Here is a 17,851-nt window from a genome sequence, read left to right as displayed (position 1 = left end):
CGAGGTGGGTGGATCACCTGAGGTCAGGAGTTTGAGACCAGCCTGGCCAACGTGGTGAAACCCCCTCTCTACTAAAAATACAAAAAAAAAGCTGGGTGTGGTGGTATGCGCCTGTAGTCCCAGCTACTCGGGAGGCTGAGGCACGAGAATTGCTTGAACCTGGGAGGCAGAGGTTGCAGTGAGCCAAGATTGCGCCACTGCACTTGCACTCCAGCCTGGGTGACAGAGTGAGACTCAGTCTCAGAAAAGAAAAGAAAAGAAAAGGTTAGTTCTGGTTTGATGACCCATCTCTCTGTTGTGTTATTTCACAGTCCTTTTCCACTGTAGGTGGCTTCATTTATAATATATATATAATGCTGATGTTTTTGTCCTTCTTGCCACAAACACTAAGCCCCAATTATAATAAGCAGAACCATTTAAGTTTTCATCATATGACCCACAATGGATTTTTTTTTTTTAGATGGTTTTACAAAATTGAGATACGATGGCTATGGGCCATCGCATCTTCTTACCTGTTGGAAGACTTGATCTGGCTGTCTAGGCCTTTCTCTCTGAAACCCAGAACTCATCCCAGATTCCTAGAATCTGGCATCTATACATGCACAAGGCATTGTCTATTACAGTCTATGGTTTATAAAACTATGTCTTTTTAAAAATATATATTTTAGATGCTATGGTGATGAATGAAATGCAAACTAATTAAAATTGTGATTTAAGTCACAAAAACTTATAACTTCTCGGTTTTTGTGATACAAAGATCAAGTGTAAATTACAGAAGCTTTCAGTCATTGGATGCTTTTTCAAATATGGAAATGTAATTGCTACTTAATAAATAATCACAATGAATATTCTTTTTTTTTTTTTTTTTTTTTTGAGACAGAGTCTTACTGTGTCAGCCAGGCTGAAGTACAGTCTCACAGTCTTGGCTCACTGCAACTTCTGCCTCCTGGGCTCAAGCAATCCTCCCACCTCAGCCTCCCAAAAAGTTGGGACTATAGGCGCATGCCGCCACACCTGGCTAATTTTTGTTTAGATGGGGTTTCACCACGTTGCCCAGACTGGTCTCGAACTCTTGAGCTCAAGTGATCGGCCCATCTTGGCCTCCCAAAGTGCTGGGATTATAGGTGTGAGCCACCATGTCCAACCCATGATTAATATTTTTATAGCATTTCCTACGTACCAAGCATTCTTATAGTACCTTACATACACCAACTCATTTAATCTTTACAAGTCTAGGACGTAGCTTATTTTTCTTATTTGTAAAGAATTTAAACAATTTCCCCAAGTTACAAAGCCAGGAAGTGGCTGTCAACCTAAATAACAGATTTTTTTTTTTTTGGTCTCTAAAAATAATGATGTTTATTTGGGAATGGTTATTGCAATGGGAATACCCATGCCATAGTAAACTGTGTTCAGGGAGGCAAAGGAAGACACAAGTTTTTAAAGGAAAAAGAGGGAGGATTGCATAATTGTTTTGAAATAATTATTCTTGGCTGCAAAAATCAATGACGAGTGTGGTACCAGTCCAAGCCTGGACAGGCAGTTGCTGGACAGATGTCCTCGCACAAGTATTTTGTGTGTGTGTAAGGTTGCAATGGCCTTTGTGCAAGATTGTGATTTTTGCAGAGTCTTTTATGATAGTTCTTGCTATCATGGATTTATGCATGAAACTCTCCCTGGCCTTCCTTGGCTCTATTTGCCAGGTTTTCAAAATTTTTCATTTAATTTTATTTAACACAAGTGATTCCATTCTGATTCTGTCAACTTTCATCTGGTAGACCTGAGATTTAAATTCGAGCCATCTGGCTCAAAGCCTGTGCGCTTAAACCACCAGGCCACACAACCCCTTAGCATGTGGCTCTGAGATGCCTTTTGATATTTAAAATGGGTCTCAGGCTTGAAAGTGTAGGAAACCACCAGTGCGTGAAGAATATGGTCAGCCATTTATAGAAGGGATAGTAGAAAAGGCAATTCATTCTAAAATACATTATGGCTGGAAAGAAGGGATTCTCACGTGCATTGTCCACAGGAGTCAAAAAGCTTAGGCTTTGGATCATGGGTGGAAGATGGGATGATGGGATGAGGGCCTGGCATAGTTCATCTCCAGATCCCAAAGCTTTTTATCTGTAGAAGCCCCTGCTCTGAGTCTCCTGTTGGAACTCACTGGGCAGACTGACCAGATGATGGCAGGTGGGTGGAATGAATGACTTACCGGCCGGGGCAGACTGTACTGATACATTTCTGGGCGGTAGGTCGGCACCCACTGCACCCCGGCCCTGGGCCGCGTCATGGTCCCCGGAGCGCTGGTCACCACCTCCGAATAGGGCAGGTGCTGGGCTGAGCCGTAGGCCTCTTGGTGCCGGCTCTGGCCTGCGTGGCCCGCGGATGCCAGGCTGAAGGCCTCCTCCAGCAGCATGTGCATCTGCTGCCTGACCTCGTCGATGGATGGCTGGGAGCTCAGTGTGGAGGTCTCCGAGTGGCCTTTCACCTGTCGAGACCTGGAATAGCCCCGGGGCTCAGGAACTCTGTCAATGTTGGTTTCCTCTATGATTTCAGGCTCAGTCTGTGGGAGGAAACAAAGCCCATTGATGTGTTTACTTTCCTTCCCGTGAAGGTGCTCTGTAATTTACTCTAAAACATTCACTTGGACAGGTGCTAGGATGCATCTGTGCTAATTTAAATTATATCCTACGTGCCCTATCTAGGAATTCACACTACTGGGGTACTCAGCCAGCACTCTATCAGGAAGGCCACACTCTGGCTATCGGTGTGCACTTCAGTTGCCCATAGATTGACCAATGCTGCAGGCTCTGCCTGTTAGTGTAACAGACTCGAGAAATGGCTTTCACCGATGACATTAACGGTACTTTCTAAAATCTTTTAGAGACATTCCCCACCCCTATGCCTTAGGGTATAAGACCCTGGAATGTCTTGTAATCTACACCTGGAGGGGTAGCATTCTAGATTCACTCCCTAAATGGTCCTGTGTCCAGCCTTTGGTTAAGGAAGTGCTGATTGCCTGATGCTACTTATCAGACAGAATAACAAAATCCTGCTTCTAGATCACAGCTCTTAAAGCGTGGTACGCAATCAGAAGCTCTGGGGGTGAGGCCCAGCCATCTGTGCTTTAATAAGCCCGCCAGGAGATTCCGATGCCTGTTCAAATTTGAAATCTACTGATCTAGAACGTTCTCCTGCCTTTCTTCACTGAACCTTTCATTCCAGCGAGCAGCTTCAGTACCAGGGTGGGCAGACAGCTGGAACTTCATAAGCTTCCAGAACAGGCTGCATGGACGGTCTCGTGCTTGCCTGCTAATGAATGCTTGCTTCGTAAGTGTCTGCTTTCTTGCTCTGAGGCTTCTGTGCCATCATTAGGTGGGGATGCCTGTAGGAGTTTATTCCACCAGTCTGGACGTGCATGAATCTCAAGGTGCAAGAACACAGAAGGGAAGAGATAGGGACTGCCAAGGCAATATGGGGAGGCTGCTGCCTTGTGGCGGATGCCACAGCAATAGCTAGACCCCATAAAGGTGCACAGAGAAGATAAAAGACAGGGTGTTCAAAACATTCCAACCAGGAGAGTTACTTTAACTTTCTGGTATTTCAGTTTCCTCATCTGTAAAATGAGGATAATACTGCCTCAAAGGCTTTTATAAGGATTAAATAAAGGTACATCTAAAGATTTTAGAATAGTAGCACATGGTAAAAACAATACTAGTTGCTGTCATCATCATAATCATCACTATTACTTTATTCATTCAACCACACATATTTCCATGTAATTACTATGTATAAAGCACCTTGATATATAAAATAAGCACAGCAAGTAAATGAGGGAATTCACCCAAAATGGGGAGTCCTTCCCTCCTTAAATATTACACATGAAGGTCATAACTGCATTATACTTCATTTTAAAAAGTATATTTACCTTTTTAGCATTAAATTAATACATGCTCATTAGCAAAGAAAGTGAAAATATAGAAAGCACAAAAAAATTACACGTTTCTTGTCATCTTATCTCCTAGAGTTAGGACTTGGCTAAAGTTCAAGATGAAAAGTGAGGTTTTCTATCAGCCTCTAAGTCTAGATTTATCAACAAACATCTACAGTAAGTAATTTAAAATATTGTAATATTTTTATACTAATAAGAGCAAGGACAGATTCTGGAGTAGAATGTAAAGTTACCTTTGCGATCATAAACAAGAACTCAAAGACATTTCATGCCTGGGTGCATGCCCCCCAAACTCCTGGGCTGGGGGACATATTGGGGCTCTTCTGCTCTTAGAAGCTCTTAAGAGAAAAAGCTTAAGGTCGCTGAGTGGGAAATGTGCTCCCTGAAAGCCAGCAGATCTGCCTGTTGAGATGTGGTTTTGCCTGGCGATACCTTCTAGAACACGAATGCAACCCTTGAAAGTTACGTTCTTCACAATGCATAGAACATTCAGAACTGAATTTCAGAGCCTGAAGGGACTTTAGGAGATCATTAAACTCAAGCCCCATTTTACATATGGGGAGGTGACTTATCTAAAGTTATGCAGAAGCAGGCAATGGCAGAGCCTCCTGCTCCCAGCTCCTGACCCATGCACATCCTGCAGCACGGCACTGCCTCTCATGTAAATGTCCTGTTCATGCTGGTTGCTAGCCACACAAGGCCCTTCCTCCCTACATCCAGAGTCTCCCTGATACATAACGGAGGCTTAATGCTCAACTGCTCCCAGGTGGGAGATTAACAGCACAGGGGTGAGCTGAGGTACAATTTCCCCACCCCTGAGCTGTGCTGTGCATTTCCAGACATATTGGTAGATCTATTATCACATGAATTTATAGTTGTGCCTTAGGGCAAAAGCATACTCCTTAGCAACATCTCCCTATTCCCACTGCCCCAAGAGCCCTGGGGTGGGGTAGTACTGGGGGTGGGTGAGTTCTCCGAGTAAGGTTGGTAGGGGAGTGCTAGGCCACCACACATATATATGTTATATATATACACACATACATAAGTGCTACCTTTGCTGGGAAGGTGGAGACTTTTTCTCCAGGCTCCCACTGCCACCTACCCCATGATCCCCAAATGAAGATCAGCCTCTGCTTCCCCCACAGGGTTTCCATTCTGCATGGGGAGTTCCCTTTAATTGGAAGGTCCAAGTATACTCTCCACAGGCTTGATGCGGCCACCAATCATCTCTCGATAGCTACAGATAGAAACAAGACTAGCTCTCATTATACCTGGCTTCCTCTCATCACACTTGGATTTGCTTACTTAAAGTATGACTTCCCCAAGACTGGATACTCCCTGAACCCATTTCACCTCTGTTTCTCAGGAGCCTAGCACAGGCACTTGGCATTCAATCAAGCTTTGTGAACTTAAACTGAAATAAATTCTGTCCACTTCCCCTTGTTAGATAGATAGAAGTTCTAAATTTCTTTTCAAAGAATCAGTATGTCAGTATGCTCAATTCTTTGCCTTCTACTTTTAAACTTAACTTCCTTGTAAAGAAACCTTTTTCGATTACCTGGTTCACCCTGACTCATTCCAATTACCTGCTCCACCCTGACTCATTCCGATTACCTGCTCCACCCTGACTCATTCTGATTACCTACTCTACCCTGACTCATTCCAATTACCTGCTCTGTCATAACCATTTCCACCCCCCCAAACCACTCACCCCGTCACTCTCTTTAAATCAGCCAATCGGAATTAGTTTAGCCTGTGCAGTCTAACCTTAGCCAATAGGGGAACGATACAGCAGCAGAGGCCACATGCGTCAGGGGTGAGAACCCCTTCCCCTCCCTTATCCAAGTGTGCGCTCACCATTGCTCCATCTATAAGGGTGCACCCTTCTATAGAAGTAACTTGCCTTGCTGAGAATTGAAAAGAAAATTTTACATTCAAGTGCTATTTCTTTTGCAGCACCGTAACTTTATTTATAACACCCTTGAGGTGGAAGTTGAGGTTAAGGTAAAAGGCCCACTTTCCCTAACACATTTCTTCCAATGCTAATGAGTTGCATGACAATAAGAAGTTGCAGGAACCCCCTAAGCCTCAGGCTCCTCATCTGTAAAATGGGAGAGTTGAACTATGGTCTGACATTTATGTTTCTTGGACTCTACTTGCTCTAGGAGATGCCATACTCCTCCTATTATCATCATCTTTGGGGGAATCTGACATCTACTCATGAAGAGAAACATCCCTGCACCTCCCTCCCCCACTAAAACATATTGAGTAGTGATAAGTTTGTCCTTTTGCTTAACAGACAATTATTGGTTTCAACCCTGTACTAGACCCTGGGTTGGGGGTGATGGATACAATACTTAATAAGATAGTGACCCAGCCCTCAAGGAGCTCCCAGTCAATGGCAGGAAACAAATAATAACAATACCAATAATAGCAGCTAATATTTATTAACAGCTTACATGCCAGGCACTGTTTTAAGTACTTTAAACATATCGGCTCTTTTTGTCCTTATAAGAACTTATGAAGTAACAACTATGAATATTCCCACTTTACAGAAGAGGAAATTAAGGCATTGAAAGACAAATGTGTTCCCCATAATTAGCAGGACTGAGATTTGAACACAGACAGTTTGATTCCGTCACCTAAGCTCTTACCCACTGTGTATATATATATATATATATATATATATATATATATATATATATATATATATATATATATATACAGATCCATTACCATACTATAGTTGTGGGCTCTGACAGAGTCAAACAAATTTCTGTGACCAGAAAAGAAGATAAAATACTTATTGAGATAATCTACCTTATAGATTACTATAAGGATGAAAAGCATCAATGTATAAATACAAAGCATTTATATTATATATGTGCCACAGTATCTGGCACATCAGCATTTGTTTAATAAATGTTAGCTGCAATTATTATTGTTGCTGTTATCTGTCTCCTTCCATAGACTGGGAACTCCTTCAGGGTTGGGTCAGTGTCTTATAATCATTGTATTCACAGCCCCCAATCCGGGACCTTCCCCAGAGGTGAAGCTGTAATTGTCTGTTTAGCGAACAAATATAGTAGGTGCTCAAATTGACTCGAGGACCTGTGGTGTGCCAGCTCTGTGCTGGCTTTTCCACGTGGGTTTCCTCACTCAGTCTCTCGGAGCTCTGCAGTTGTGTCCATTTTCAGATATGAGATATCACATCTACTGGCTGAACTTGCCCTAAACCCTTCTCCCTCACTGGCATATTTCTGAAAATGCCTTTTGCTTTTATTTGACAAAAGAGGGGAGACAGGAACAAAGACAAATCTCCCAGTGTTGGCTGACAGTTGGCTTGGGTTGGGACCGTATCTGGGACACAGAATGTATTTTTAAACCTCTTTAACTTGGAATGGACCATACTTGCTTCTCTGACTTCCTATTCTTGAAAAGCTCTGAGAAACTCATTTTTTTCAAAAAGCTGTTTTTATAAATTAATCAAGATATACTTCAATAAAAATTCTAAAAATATTCATCGAGGAATGTCTGTTCATGGTCGGAAATTAGAAAACACAGATAAGCAAAAGGAAGAAAATTAAAATCTACTCTAATCTGATCGCCAGAAATAACTACCGTTAACATTTTTACGTCGTGCACATCCTTCCAGATGTTTTCTATGCATATGAAATAGGATGAGGATTATGAATGCTAAAGCACTGCCAACGCTCTCCCCACTGCCCCAGGCCACTACAGAGAGTGTGAGCTTGACCCAGGTCAGTTTCTCCTTCTTCCACTTCCAAGGAGAGCCCACGCTTTGCCACATAGATTGTGTGCGTGATGGAGACTAGGAAGTGGGGATGGGCAATGAGAGGCAGAAGAGGTGTGGACTGCAGAATTTTATAGTGAGATTTTCAAGAGAGGTGCAGAAGCAGGTGTGGCATGTGAATGGCAGAGTAATTAAGGGAATTTAGAAAGTTTTACTGAGTATGATGTATTTGCCTTCTCACATATAAAAATATAAGTAAAGGAGTAGAGGTATTTTAAAATTACTTTTGTTGGCAGAGTTCTTTTGACTTAGATACTCTCTCAGACTGAGCTGTTTGGGTCATGATTTTATAAACAGAATACATACACACATATACATATATATGTAGGCATATATGTATATTTTATATATATGTAAACACACACACATATATGCAGGCATAAATATATATATGCACACATATATAAGGTTTTTAAAAATGACATTACAATATTTTGAAACCTTTTTAATTCAACAATATTGTAAGTAAGTATCTCCATCAATAAATAAATGTATAGAGAATAAGGATTTCATAGCATTCTAATAAATGGAGTTTTTAGGCTACCATATATTTAATAGTCCACTATTTTAGGTGTTTTCCTAATATCTTACTATATGAACAAAGCTGGAGTAAGTATCCTTGTGTTTAGAACTTTGCATATATGGCTGGACACAGTGGCTCATGCCTGTAATCCCAGCACTTTGGGAGGCCAAGGCGGGCGGATCATTTGAGGTCAGGAGTTCGAGACCAGCCTGGGCAACATGGTGAAATGCCGCCTCTACTAAAAATAGAAAAATTAGCCAGGCGAGGTAGCGCGCGCCTGTGATCCCAGCTACTCCAGAGGCTGAGGCAGGAGAATCGCTTGAGCCCGGGAGGCGGAGGTTGCAGTGAACCAAGATCACACCACTGCACTCCAGCATGGGTGACAGAGCGAGACTCCATCTCAAAAATAATAATAATAATAAAAGAACTTTGCATATAATCATGAGTTTATCCTTAGGTTAAATTTCTAGAAGGAGAATTACCAGGTGAGAGGATATACACGTAATTATAGTTTTGGAGAGTTATGGTATATCAGAACTCAGTAGCAAAGGCCACAGTATTTAGAAGAGATTTAAGCCATTCCTCTTCCACACATGGGCCCCTGGTCTTGCGCTTCATGGTGGCCATTGGATAGAGGAAGCACCTGGAATTCTTTTAATGTTGTTTTAAAATGAGTGAACCAGTCCAATACATCTACAATAGTGCACACAGTGGCTAAGTACCCACGACTTCATCCTCTCTTTGAAACACCATGAGAACAAACTTGAAGAAAATTGTAGCCCTGCTGGGAACCCCAAGTATCTTCTTCCTAAAAAATATTCCAAAACAATTTAGTCCTGGGGCACATTCTGTAGCTTTAAGTCTTATTCAAAATTAAAACTACTATCTTATCAGACAACTAATGGAAAGACAAGCTACCAACCACAAGAAAATATTAGGATTTGTATCCACAATATATAAATAGTTCCTACAAATGAATAACAAAAAGACAAGCAACTCAATTTAGAAATTGGGCAAAAGGCTTGAAAAGATACCTCAATGAAAGAAGACACAAAAATGTCCAATAAACACGTGGAAAGATGATCAACATCATTAGGAATAAGGAAATTATATCATTTCATATTCAGTGGAATGGCTAAAATGAGAAAGATTAATAACAACAAATGTTGGTGAGGTTTAAGACTAGAATTAGAACTGTTATACTGCTAGTGGGAGAGGCAACAGTGCAAAAACTTTGTAAATTTGACTACAATTTCTTAAACATATACCTACCCTATGACCCAGAAATTCCACTCCTACATATTTATCCAAAATAAATGAAAACACTTGTTAAGAAAACACATGAAAATGTTTATGGCAGTTTTTTTTTTCATACTAGCTTCACACTGGAAGCAATCCAAATGTCCAACAATAGGATAATGGATAAACAAATAGTATTATATTTATAAAATGGAATAGTACCCAGTATAAAAGAGAATAAAATACTCATAGATGAGTATTTTATTTATTTATTTATTTATTTATTTTTTTTTTTTTTATTTATTTTAGAGAATAAAATAACATAGATGAATCTTGAGTGAAAGAAGTCAGACACAAAAGAGTACATACTGAATAAATCCATTTATATGAAGTTCAAGAACAGGCAAAACTATAGTGGTTTATATCAGACAAGTGGTTGCCTATGGGTGAGCTGAATATTGACTGAAAAAAAAAGTGAGGGAGTTTTCTGGGAGTGATGAAAACGTTTGGTATTTTCATTGGTCTGGTGGTTATAAGGGTGTACACTTTTGTCAAAGCTCATCACATTGTGTACTAACAACCTGTACATTTTTACCATATGTCAATTTTCCCATACTAAAAGAAACAAAACAGATTGACATAGCTAGCTTGATGGGGATGGTCAGGGAAAGCTTCTCTGAGGAGATGCCATGTTTTCAGACCTGAAGGAGGAGAAGAGGTTGCCCATGTGATGGTTGTAGGAAAGCCCAGAGGTGAGAGAGAGTTGGTAGTGCTTGAGAAAAAGAAAGGACTGTTACAGAATGAACTGTGTCCCCCACAAAATTTTTATGTTGAAGTCCTAACTCCTAGCATCTCAGAATGTGACTGTATTTGGAGATGGCGCCTTCACACAGGTAATTAAGTTAAATGAGGTCATTAGAGTGGACCCTTGGGTCCAAAGGACTGATCCTTCTAAGAAGAGGAAATTTGGACACAGCATGTACAAAGGGAAGCCGATATGAAGGCTCAGGGAAGAGATGGCCTTTCATAAACTCAGGAAAGATACCTGGAACGCATCCTTCCCTCATGGCCCTCAGAAGAAACCAATCCTACCAACACTTTGATCTAGAACTTGTAACCTCCAGAACTGTGAGAAAATAAATGTCTGTTGTTTAAGCCATACCACCCAGTCTGTGCCCTAGCAAACTAATATACAGACCTTGTAGCTGAAGCCCTAATTGTCAGGACATGGGGCTGGAGAGGAAGGCAGGGTCCAGATCATGCAGGGTCTTAAAGGCCATGGTAAGAAGGCTGGACTGTTGTCAAAGGGCAATGGGAAACTACTGAAGAATTTTAAGCAGGGAAGAAATGTGATTGGAATTTATGGGAGGCCGGTTAGGAAGCACTTGCTTGCGGCTCTGGCCGTAACCTAGGCCAGAAGAGATGACAGGGGCCTGGATTAGGGTGGTCATGGACAGACAAGGGGTAGGTGAGTTCAAGATGTATTTTGGAAGAGAACTGGCAGAGCTGCTGACAGATTAGATGTGAGAGTGAAGGAAAGCCAAGAGTTGAAGCCAAGACTCTTTACCAACAAGAGGAACTGTGCTACATGGGTCTCCTTAATGGTCTCTGAGCTCCCCAAGCATGTCTGGGCCCTTCCACTTGCTGAATTTTCTGCCTGGAAAGCTCTTCCCCTGGGGCAAGCATTTTAGGTCTGCTCAAAAGTCACCTCCCTGGAGAGCCCTGCCCTGCCCAAGCTATTCAGAGAAGCTCCTGGTACTCTCCACTGCCTTCCTTGAGTTATGTTCCTCCATAGCCTTCCCGACACTGTGCTGTACATGTATGTGTGTGGGTGTTTGTTGCCAGTTTTCCCTAGTGTAATAAATTAGTCTCCCTTATCCTCAGGGAAAATGTTCCAAGACCCCCACTGGATGCCTGAAATCGTGGAGAGTAATGAATCCTAGATACATGATGTTTTTTCTCATACAAACCTATAATAAAGTTTAATTTATAAATTAGGCACAGTGAGAAATTAACAACAATAGCTAATAATAAAAGAACAATTATAACAATATACTGTTCACAATTTCATGGGTAGAAGATTCGTTCTTGGCTGGGCGTGGTGGTTCACGCCCGTAATCCCAGAACTTTGGGAGGTCGAGGCTGGTGGATCACTTGAGGTCAGGAGTTCAACACCAGCCTGGCCAACATGGTGAAACCCCATCTCTATTAAAAAGGCAAAAATTAGCTGGGCGTGGTAGTACATGCCTGTAATCCCAGCTACTTGGGAGGCTGAACCCAGGAGGTGGAAGTTGCAGTGAGCCGTGATTACGCAAATGCAATCCAGCCTGGGTGACACAGCGAGACTCTGTCTCAAAAAAAAAAAAAAAAAGAAGATTCATTGTTACCAGAGATTGTAGCAACCTCAGGATACAATTTTTTTTCTTTCCTTACTAAGTCAGCAACTTTCACCTATTAAAGGAAGCACTAGAGGGCTTTTCTTTGTCATAACCAAATTGCGTTACCACTCTCACCCTTTGGAGCCACCATTAAGTAAAATAAGGGTTACCTGAACACAAGCACTGGCATGCTGCGACAGTGGTTGTCTGAATAACCACTGTGTGACTAAGTGACTGACAGCTGGGTAGCATAGACATTATCCTTGTTGACCAGGATAAGCTGGACAAAGGCAAGATTCATGTCCTGGGTGGGATGGAGTGGGATGGCGTCAGACTTCATTACACTACTCAGAATGGCACACAATTTAAAACGTATAAATTATCTTTGGAATTTCCCATTTAATATTTTCAGATCATAGTTGACCGTAAGTAGCTGAAACCATGGATAAGTGGTGACTACTGGATAAGCCCCATGAGGGCAGGGATATTGTCATATTTTCTGCCGTATCCCAGAATGGCATGTGGTAGAACATTAATAAATACTCACTGAATAAATGAGTGTTAAAAGTCTGGAGAATTCCTACTCAAAAGTCTTCAACAGTAAAAGACATTTCCATTTGTCTAAAATGAATGAAACAGTTTTGTCTAAAATGAATGAAACAGTTTTATCTAGAATGGGCTTAACGAAGAGGGATAAAGGGCTCTTGAGGCCACTTATTCTAGAATTTCTTGAGTTAGGCGCCCCGAAGTGAACAGGGGTTTTACAAGCCCACACTTTCCAGGACACACAAGTGGGTGTAACATCACTTTACCTCACCTTGTTACTTCATTTCTGGAGCATAGGAATTTGAAGCCTCTCTCCAAACCCTGCCCCAAAGCCCAGATTTTCAGCTCAGTGTCAATCGCAGCTCCATCCTGCACGAACAGATTCTGAACAAATTATGCAACTTCGTGGCAAGGGCCCAGAGACCGAGTGGGGGTTTCAGCAAGATAAATTCCTGGGCCATCTGGCCATGATGAAATTTATCTGGCTCCATGTCCATTTTTATTTTCCACCAATCGGAGTCTTTTGGGCCACACAAAACAGTGCCACTTCTCTCCATTTAATGCCTCCTCTGCCCACTGCAAGTGCTGCCTGTTACTGAGGAAGGAGAGACATATTTAGAAAGTTGCTTCTGGAAACCACATTTCAGGAAGTTCTCACTTCACCAGGTGGGAAGAAGACCATGATGGTACAGGAGCAGAGAGACCTTTGGCAGCAGTTTCCCATAAGCCTGCATCCTGGAAGCTTCTCTAATAATAAAGTGAGATTGGTTCCCCTCAGAACAGGCAGTGGGGTTCAAAATAATGGCTTGGTCACTTTTCTGCAAAGGCGTGCAAATGGAATTAAAAAAAATTTTTTCAGCAAAATTTCAAATTTCATTCTGATGGCCCTTCCAAAGGATGATCTACGATCACTCCAGGGCTATGAGGATGTGAGGACAGCATGCTGTTTCTGTGTTTCAGTTCAGTAGAAAAGACATATAAAGGGTCTCTCATAGACTTCTAAGGAAATAGGGACATCCTCTTTCAGAGAGGACCTTTCAGAGAGTGACTCATAATCAGAGTCTCCACTGAGACTATGAAGATGGGACAGACAAGGATAAAAGAAGGTGCTCCAATGCTCTCAGCATTACTCACTGCCCCTAAAGCAAAACATCTTCCCCGTGTAACAGAAGTCTTAGGTGCCAGCTCAACTTCCCGTCTTTCTCCCCCCATAACTTGTTGCTCTCTAAGGAGCAGGGGAAATTCAATTACTGAGCAGCCCACAAGATCCATTTGCCTTGAGTTGCAACCACTGTCCCACCCTGTGTTTGCAAAAACATTACCTTAAAGGTCATCTCTGGAAGTGTGGCCTTGTACTACGGCCCATCTCTTGTCCAGTCATGCTGGAGAAAGGCACCCTTGGAGGAATGCAGTCCTCTCTTTGGTGTGTGACACAATTCAGAGCAGTAAGCGCAGGCCGGGCGTGGTGGTTCAAACCTGTAATCCCAGCACTTTGGGAGGCCGAGGTGGGTGGATCACTTGAGGTCAGGAGTTCCAGATAAGCCTGCCCAACCTGGTGAAACCCTGCCTCTCTTAAAAATACAAAAATTAGCTGGGCATGGTGGTGCATGCTTGTAATCCCAGCTACTCAGGAGGCTAAGGCAGGAGAATTGCTTGAACCCGGGAGGCAGAAGTTGCAGTGAGCTGAGATCATGCCACTGCACTCCAGCCTGGGCGACAGAATGAGACTCTGTCTCAAAACAACAACAACAACAACAAAAACAGAGTAGTAACTGCTAGAAAAGAAACAGGAAAAGGGGAGTATCGCCCTCTCCCTCCTGGGGAGTTATAATAGCTAATGTTCACCGCCTGTTTTCTACATGCTTTGTCTGCATTAGCTCATTTAATTTCCACAACATCCTCATAAAGTAGGTACCACTGGTATCCCCATTTTACAGATGAGAACACTAAAGCGCAGATAGGAAGGTAACTGGCCTAACTTCACGTAGCTTGTAAGTAGCCTAGCTCCAGAGGCTATGAGCACAGCCCCTACACTGTACTACCTGTGAACTTCAAGAACAATATATAAACCACAGTCATAATTAAAAACACCTCTTCAAAAGGAATCCACCCGAAAGTAAACATATCAGAATGGCTTTCTCTCTTGGAAAGCTAATTCGCGTTTTGCTTTCTAGGTGAGTCATCACCTGCTTTTTTTCATCTTAGCTGAGCTGGCACTGCAGGGAGCGAGGACACTGGGAGGATCTCTCCCGTGAGTTAGCACTATTCCATCACAAACAGGCTCTCCCCGCCATCCACTCAAGTCTGCCCTTTCACCTCTTCAGCTCTTGAAAAAACCAGACGGATGCACAAAATCCCTCTGTCACTCTATCTGTGTCTAAAACATGAACCTCTGACTGTAGCCTGGACTTCCCGAGCTCACAGTGAATAGCAGTCGTTACACAACACCACGCTGATCTTTCCCTTCAGAATGGGCCAACCAAAGATGACAAGAGGGCTGGGCGCAGTGACTCACACCTGTAAAAATCCCAGGACTTTGGGAGAAAGAGGCGGGCAGATCACCTGAGGTCAGGAGTTCAAGACCAGCCTGGCCAACATGGTGAAACCCTGTCTCTACTAAAAATACAAAAAAAAAAAAAAAAAAAAAAAAAAAAAAAGCTGGGCATGGTGGTGGGCACCTGTCATCCCAGTTACTTGGGAGGCTGAGACAGGAGAATCGCCTGAACCCAGGAGGTGGAGGTTGCAGTGAGCTGAGACCACACCATTGCACTCCAGCCTGGGCAACAAGAATGAAACTCTGTCTCAAAAACAAACAACAACGACAAAAAACACAAAGATGACAACAGGCTGAAACTGGAGGGAAGAGTGACGTGGAGGAGACTGTTGGGTGTGTTCCTTAAAATGCCCAACACAGTGCTCATGTTTATAATCCCAGCACTCTGGGAGGCTGAGGTGGGAAAATTGCTCAAAGCCAGGAGTTCTAGGCCAGCCTCTATGGGCAACATAGGGAGACCCCATTTCTACAAAAATAAATAAATAAATAAATAAAAATTAAAAATTAACCAGGTATGGTAGTAGTAGTTCTAGCTACTTGGGAGGCTGAGGAGGGAGGCTCGCCTGAGCCAAGGAGGTTGGGGCTGCAGTGAGCTGTGATTATGTCACTGTACTCCAGCCTGGGCAACAGAGCAAGATCTGTCTCTCTAAATAAAAAAGTCCAACTACAAGTGTTCCTCAAGCAGCAGGTACTGTAGCAGGCACTGTGATGGCCTCAGCATCCATCTCCTTCTCTCCCTGTGTTTCAGCCAGGGGGGCTAGCTGGGACTAAGCTGCCCCAGCTCCATCGATGGGGCCTGACCAAGTTAAATTAATCAGTGTAATCTCCCCGCATTCACTGCTACAGTGATTCATGAAGGGCTGGACACTTGGCATATGATGGCTCAGTCAGAGTAAAACCCATAAACCTTGTCTTGAGGTTGGGAAAAGAGAATTCCCTCTTGCACTGGTCCATACAGGATGTAGATATGAGGCCTGGGATTTCTTACCAGAGTCCACCTGTGGATACAGCCAACACACAAGGGAACACAGACCTGTGTATAATGCAGAGGAACAGACTGGGGCCCCAACCAAACCATGCCTGGATTTACCGTAAACAATTCACCCTGTTCATGTTTTAAGATCGTTTAAGTTGGAGTTTCTGTTGCTTTTGCCAAAGGATTTTAGTGGATAACCACCATTCACAGTGAACTCCAAATGGCAATGGACATCAGCCTATGGTTTTGATATTCCGTCAAATCTAATGTGTATTTGGCTCAGAGCTAGAAACGTGACCCATTTTTTCAAGTCTCAGCTCAGGAGTCACCTCTTCTGTTTGACACACTTGTTTGTTCATTTGCCCAACAAATAGAGACACCGCATCTACTGTGTGCCAGTTACTATTCCGAGTGCTGTGGTTTCAAGGATAAATAAAACATGACTCCTGTCCTCGAGGAGTTGCATGGGGAAATAACACAAGTGAACTAACTAATGGAAGTTGGAGGTGAAGGCTTTGATTGGGGTATCAGGGGCTACTGGAACACAAAGGAGGGGCCCATAGGCATAGGGGCCAGGAAAAGGTGCTGGGGAAGGTCATGTTTAAACCAAGTTCCAAAAGCATTGCTTAGGTCAGTAGTTCTCAGCCAGGAGCAGGTTTGACCACCAGGGGACATCTGCAATGCCTGGAGACGTATTTTGGTTGTCACAACTGGGAGGGGCTTCTGGCACCTCAGGCATAGGTAGAGACCACGGATGCTGCTAAAAACCCTGTAACGTACAGGACAGCGCACCATATGAAGAAACTCTACAGCCCTAAGTGTTAACAGCGAGGAGGCTGAGCAGCCTGGGCCTGGATGAAGCAGGTGGGAAGGGAGATTCCAGGCGGAGTGATGCATGCATGCAAAAACCCGGAGATGAGAAACCACAGGACAAGTTTGGGGAAGGTGTTCAGGCTGGAGCCAAGGGGGTGGTTGAAGGAGTAACACGCGTCAGCTAGAAGGGCACATCTGGGCCAGCCAGAGCAGAAAAGTGCTGAGCTGGGAGCTTAGAGTCTGAGTTTTATCTCCAAAGCTATGGGGAGCTCCTGGAGGATTTTGAACAAGAGTGTGTGTTTTAGAAGGATGTCCCTGGCAGCTGTCTGGCAGCTTCAGCAGTGGTGAGTAATGGAGACAGTACTGGGCAGTGGCTGTGGGACAGACAGGAAGGAACAAACCCTCAGGAGCACTTCCTCTTCCCATCCAAGTTCATTGCCACAGTACGTTGCACGTGCCTCCACCTCTCTCCTCCACTAGTAATTACCTGGCCATGCACGAAAATTAATACATCTTTCCCTTCTCCACAGAGCCTCACACGGGTTGATACAGTGGAATCTCATACAAAGCTTAGATGCTAATGCTAATGCCAGCCAGCAGAGTAGGTAAAAATCATGTAGAGAAAAGCCCTTGAAAATCTCTTAAATCGGGAGGAGCCAAGATGGCCAAATAGGAACAGCTCCGGTCTACAGCTCCCAGCGTGAGCGACGCAGAAGATGGGTGATTTCTGCATTTCTATCTGAGGTACCGGGTTCATCTCACTAGGGAGTGCCAGACAGTGGGCGCAGGTCACTGGGTGCACGCACCATGCATGAGCCGAAGCAGGGCGAGGCATTGCCTCACTCGGGAAGCGCAAAGGGTCAGGGAGTTCCCTTTCCTAGTCAAAGAAAGGGGTGACAAACGGCACCTGGAAAATCGGGTCACTCCCACCCGAATACTGCGCTTTTCCGACAGGCTTAAAAAATGGCGCACCAGGAGATTATATCCCGCACCTGGCTCGGAGGGGCCTACGCCCACGGAGTCTCGCTGATTGCTAGCACAGCAGTCTGAGATCAA

General features: G+C 43.4%; 1 protein-coding gene across 8 annotated transcripts in view, besides 2 other annotated features; it reads right to left on the bottom strand.

Moving 5' to 3' along the window:
• The window catches only part of KIAA1549L (KIAA1549 like), a 297,995-nt gene that overhangs the window by 25,854 nt on the left and 254,290 nt on the right, over positions 1–17,851 (bottom strand). For all 8 annotated transcript variants that reach the window (XM_047426719.1, XM_005252848.4, NM_012194.3 and 5 more), the window contains one exon: positions 2,213–2,563. In XM_047426719.1, the coding sequence (XP_047282675.1) occupies positions 2,213–2,563 (351 nt within the window). The remainder of the gene's footprint in view (positions 1–2,212; positions 2,564–17,851) is intronic.
• Positions 1,811–2,310: an enhancer, noted in NCBI's record as "H3K4me1 hESC enhancer chr11:33667485-33667984 (GRCh37/hg19 assembly coordinates)". NCBI's record gives its function as "activates a minimal SCP1, AML or CMV promoter by ChIP-STARR-seq in primed H9 embryonic stem cells {active_cell/tissue: H9 hESC(primed)}" and the evidence as "EXISTENCE:reporter gene assay evidence [ECO:0000049][PMID:30033119]".
• Positions 2,311–2,812: an enhancer, noted in NCBI's record as "H3K4me1 hESC enhancer chr11:33666983-33667484 (GRCh37/hg19 assembly coordinates)". NCBI's record gives its function as "activates a minimal SCP1, AML or CMV promoter by ChIP-STARR-seq in primed H9 embryonic stem cells {active_cell/tissue: H9 hESC(primed)}" and the evidence as "EXISTENCE:reporter gene assay evidence [ECO:0000049][PMID:30033119]".

This window comes from Homo sapiens, chromosome 11 (assembly GCF_000001405.40).
Source record: "Homo sapiens chromosome 11, GRCh38.p14 Primary Assembly".
NCBI lineage: Eukaryota > Metazoa > Chordata > Mammalia > Primates > Hominidae > Homo > Homo sapiens.
Note: the sequence above shows the minus strand (reverse complement) of the source record. Positions and strands in the feature narration are given on the sequence as shown.